At 36.6% G+C, this 4,939-nt stretch overlaps 1 annotated feature.

The window, feature by feature from the left end:
- Positions 4,438-4,939: an enhancer, noted in NCBI's record as "NANOG-H3K4me1 hESC enhancer chr4:186401399-186401900 (GRCh37/hg19 assembly coordinates)". NCBI's record gives its function as "activates a minimal SCP1, AML or CMV promoter by ChIP-STARR-seq in naive H9 embryonic stem cells {active_cell/tissue: H9 hESC(naive)}" and the evidence as "EXISTENCE:reporter gene assay evidence [ECO:0000049][PMID:30033119]".

Genomic DNA, 4,939 nt, shown 5'->3' with positions numbered 1-4,939 from the left:
TTGAAATTAAGAAATTGGCTTTATTTACAAAGTAACAAGAATAAAATACTTAGGACTAAATTTAAAAAAGAAATGCAACACTTGTACACTAAAACTACAAATCATCATTGAAAGAAATTAATGAAGATTTAAATAAATGAAAAGACACACTGTATTCATGTATTACAAGACTTACTATTGTTAGGGTGGCCGTACTCCTAATTTGAGGCACAGATTCAATGTTGTCTCTCTCAAAATTCCAGCTGCCATTTTTGCAGAAATTGACAAGATGACCCTAAAATTCATATGGAAATGCAAGGGATCTAGTAAGAGCCACAACAATCTAGAAAGAAAAGAACAAAATTGGGGATTCATACTTCTAGATTTTAAAACTTACTATGGTAATCAAGACCACCTGGAATTGGCATAAGGATAAACATATAAATCAATGGAATAGAATACACTCAGAATAAACCCATATATCAATGGTCAGTTTGTTTTAGGCAAGGATGCCAAGACAATCCAATGTGGGAAAGAATAGTCTTTCCAACAAATGGTTATGTGACAACTGAATATCCGTATACAAAGGAATAAATTTGGACTCCTATCTCATACAATAAACAAAAATTGACCCAGAGGGATTAGAGACCTAAATACAAGAGCTACAACAATAAAATTCCTAGAAGAAAATACAGACGTAAATCTTCATTTCCTTAGATTAGGCGATGGTTTCTTAGATATGAAACTAAAAGCACAAGCAAAGAAAAAAATAGATAAATCTGACTTTATGAAAATGTAAAACTTAAATGTGCTTCAGTGAACACTATCAAGAAAGTAAAAAGATAACCCACAGCATGGGAGAAAATATTGCAATCCTGTATCTGATAAGGGTCTGGTATCCAGAATTTTAAAACTCTTACAATTCAACAATAAGTAACCCAATTTAAAAGCAGGCAAAGATTTGAAAATACATTTGTCCAAAGAAGATATGCAATTGGCCAATAACCATATGAAAAGATGCTCAACACTATTAGTGATTAGGAAAATACAAATCAAAATCACAATGAGATACCACTTCTCACTCGTTAGGATGGCTATAATTAAAAAGATAATAACAAAAGTTTTCAAGAACGTAGAGAACAAGGAACCCTCACATATTACTGGTAGAAATGTAAAACGGTAACCTGCTTTGGAAAATAGTTTTGCAGTTCCTTAAAATGTTAAACATGGAGTCACTTATATGATCCAATTTTTCATGTCTAGTATATAATAAAGAAAAATGAACACATATGTCCACACTTGCACACAAATGTTCACAACAGCACGATTCATAACATCCAAACAGTGGAAATAGCATCAAGGTCCACTAACTGATGAATGGATAAACAAAATGTGGCCAATCCATACAGTGGAATATGATTCAGCCATAAAAAGGAATGAAGTACTGATAGATGCTACCACATGGATGAACCTTGAAAATAATATGTTAAATTAAAGAATCCAGACACAAAGGCCATATGTTGTATAGCTTCATTCATAGGAAACATCTAGAATAGGCAAATCCATAGACACTGAAACTAGGTTAGTGGTTGCCTGGGGCTGGCGGGGAAGGTAGAGTGGGGAGTGGCTGCTAAAGGGTACGGGTTTGGGGGGTAGTGATGAAAACATTCTGGAATTAGACAGTTGTGATGCTCGTGCAACATTATGAATATACTAAAAACCACTACATTACATACCATTAAAAGATGAATTTTATGGTATGCAAATCATATCTCAATAAAATCAGTCGGTCCACGTATTTTATGGTTCCATTAATAGGAAACATCCAGAATAGGCAAATCTGCAGAGACAGAAAATAAATTAATGATTGCCTAGAGCTGGGGGGTTGCGGTGAAATGGGGAATGGTAAGTAATGGGTGCAGGGCTTTTTTTGGGGTGACGAAAACATTCTGAAGTTGTTTTGTTGTAAGATTGTTCCAAAATCTGTGAATATACTATGAACCATTGAATTACACTTTAAATGGGTGAAGTATATCTCATTAAAGCTCTTCTTTTTAAAAAGAACACTAATATAAATATGTATGTGTCATTAATCTGTTAAGTATATACATTCCTAAGAACAGAAATGTTTAGGGTCAAATGAAACAACATGGTTAGAAATATTCTTCCTTATTTAGATGTTTTATAAATCCCTTTTCTGGAAATGCATGATCATTGCTGATATAATATCAATAGCAAACACACAGCTCTTACTATATACGAAGCACTGTTCTAAATGCTTTACATGCATGAACTCATTCACTCTTCACAGCAGCCCTGTGAGGTAGCCACTCTTTGTCTTCCTATTTTACAGATGAGGAAACTGAGACATAGAGGTTATTCCTTTTCTCCTGTAGTAAATGGAGGCAGAATTTGAATCCAGGTAGTCTGGTTTTAGAATCCAGGCTCTTTGCTTTTCACTTAGGATAATCATAAAGTTTTCATGGAATCACAAAGCTCTCAGTAAGCTTTGTCAAAATTGTCTCCTGGATTCCGTTTCAATATAACTTACTTCAGGTATTAGAGCCTAATGGTTACGAAAATGATCTTTGGACTCAGGCAGAGGTGACATGAATCCCAGCTCTCTACCTGTCAGCTTAAGAAACAGGGAAATCACGAAATCTCTCCAGACCTCAGTTTCATCAACCCATAAGATTAGGATAATCCTACTTTACAGGGTTGTTGTAAGAATTAAGATAATTCATACAAAAATATCAAACACATCACCTATTAAGTAAACTGTAAGTAATCCCTTAAGAAACTATTATTATATATAATTTTCACTATTCAATCCCAGATCCAAAATGACGTTCCTCTTTCTTCCAATTATTCTTTGGTACTAAAATCAAGGGTCAATTAAATGAGCACAACTATATCAAGCTGCAACGTTCACAGAGCTGGATTCCTATTCCTGCGGATCCCAAGAGAGCTGATATTTCACACTGAAACTGATCAGGTTCATGGAGCTCACTGGAGCTTTTCTTCATCTGAGGAGGGCAGTTTTAAAAGCCTGATCTCACATGAAACCCAACTCCACCAAAGACTCACTGACAATACTCTGTTATATCCAATGGTAATTTCAAGGCAATTCTTAATTCTTTAAGGATTTAGAAGACTAACAGAATTAAAGTCAATTCTGAGTAAGATTTCCAGCTACTGACACATTATTTCTAATCCTTATAACAACTTTGCCAAATAAATATTTTACAGATGAGGGAAAGTTTCAGAGAGTTGGATTTTTGTACAGGGCCAAACAGGTAGAAGGAAAAAAGCATGTAAACTCACCAATATTCACTAGTAATAAGTAAGATGGTTTGGAAATCTTTACACCTATGAAATTTAAACATTATTAAAATTCCTCCTCTCTATTGTATGGTTTTATTTTTTATCACTGATAAGTTATAGTCCATGTTTGTTCTCTTTAGAATAAAAATCATTTCTTCCATGAGTGCTAGCAAAAGCAGTGTGGAATAATAAAAACATTAAGTAATACTGTCACTAAGAAGGTTGTCATGGAGAGAGCTCTGGATAAGGACTTGGAATGCGGGCACAGCTTGGCCATCTGCAGAATGAGGAGGGAGGACAGGATGATCTCTGAGACCTCTAATACTCAAATACTCAATGTTCTGTTTTTGACATTGTCTTCACCTGTGTCAACTAGGCTGGCCATTCCATTTAGTGAGGGCACGCTGTCAATGTGGCCAGGTTCTTGGTGCAATTTAGAAGTTTCTTTCTGTTCCATGGTCATAAATGCCACCTCTAACTCATGCGTGGCTCACAACAGAAATCAAGCAAGGAGCATGCATTTATCATTGCAAATTAATTAGCTCCATTGAAAGTACACATTAATGGTAACTTTATATAGCAAGGGGAAACATGCCATTATTATTAATGTAAAACAAGTGGCCTGAGGCAGTGCAGCTCTTTAAGTGTCTAAAAACTAGAAGGCAGTTTGGCATCAAAAAGAAAGGGGCTCTCCTAACTTTTAAAGTCAGATAAAAAAGGAAAAAGAGAAAAAGGGGCTCATGTACTACAAGTTGAATTAAAGACTCCTCAGTCTGGAAGAGGCTACAGAGACTACTGCCTTTGACAGACTCAAAATGATGACACCTACTCACCCGTAGTAAACTTCACAGACAGCACTCATTGGACCTAAGGACCTTGTTACAAAGAAAGTGTGTTCCCCGTTGCTTCTGTCTCTGTCATCTCTACAAAACGGCCAGACCTTCACACATTCAAAGAGACTGTTAGTCCTCTGTCCTCCTCTTGGTCCGAGTCATGTCTATCACTCAATTCCTATTCTATTACTCTATTCTTCAAGTTCTCTTTCCAACTTATTTTATTGCACCCAGACTGTCTTTGCCACTGATTCTCATTCCCAGCCTACAAACATGCTCAAGTACTCCAACCCATCCTAAAAATATCCCTTTCCCTAACACCTGCTCCTTCTCGAGCTACTTTGATATTTCTCTATGTCTGACCCTTTAGCACACCAAACTTGTTAGAGTTAAACCAGCATCACTCTCTCAGTAACCCACCATAGCATTAAATAAACCCTCTTAAAGCAGCAATTAACTTCCTAAGAGCCACAGCTGGAGTTTACCTTGTTGGCTTATGGAGCTCATTCGCATATAGATGAAATCAGGTGTTAACACTAACACTAACGGCAACTTAAAGAAGGCTGGGGGAAGAGGTGTTTGTATTTGGATAAAGCCTTTGAGTTGCGGAAGGAAGGGCCACTACCCACCCAAGACATCCTAAGTCCCTAGCACATGGGTCCTCTCTGTGATCAAAACACAATTGCCCAAATTTCTTTCTTTCTTTCTTTCTTTTTTTTTTTTTGAGACAGAGTCTGTCACCCAGGCTGGAATGCAGTGGTGCAATCTCGGCTCACTGCAAGCTCCACCTCCTGTGTTCAAGC

The sequence above is a fragment of the Homo sapiens genome, chromosome 4, assembly GCF_000001405.40.
Source record: "Homo sapiens chromosome 4, GRCh38.p14 Primary Assembly".
Taxonomy (NCBI): Eukaryota; Metazoa; Chordata; class Mammalia; order Primates; family Hominidae; genus Homo; species Homo sapiens.
Note: the sequence above shows the minus strand (reverse complement) of the source record. Positions and strands in the feature narration are given on the sequence as shown.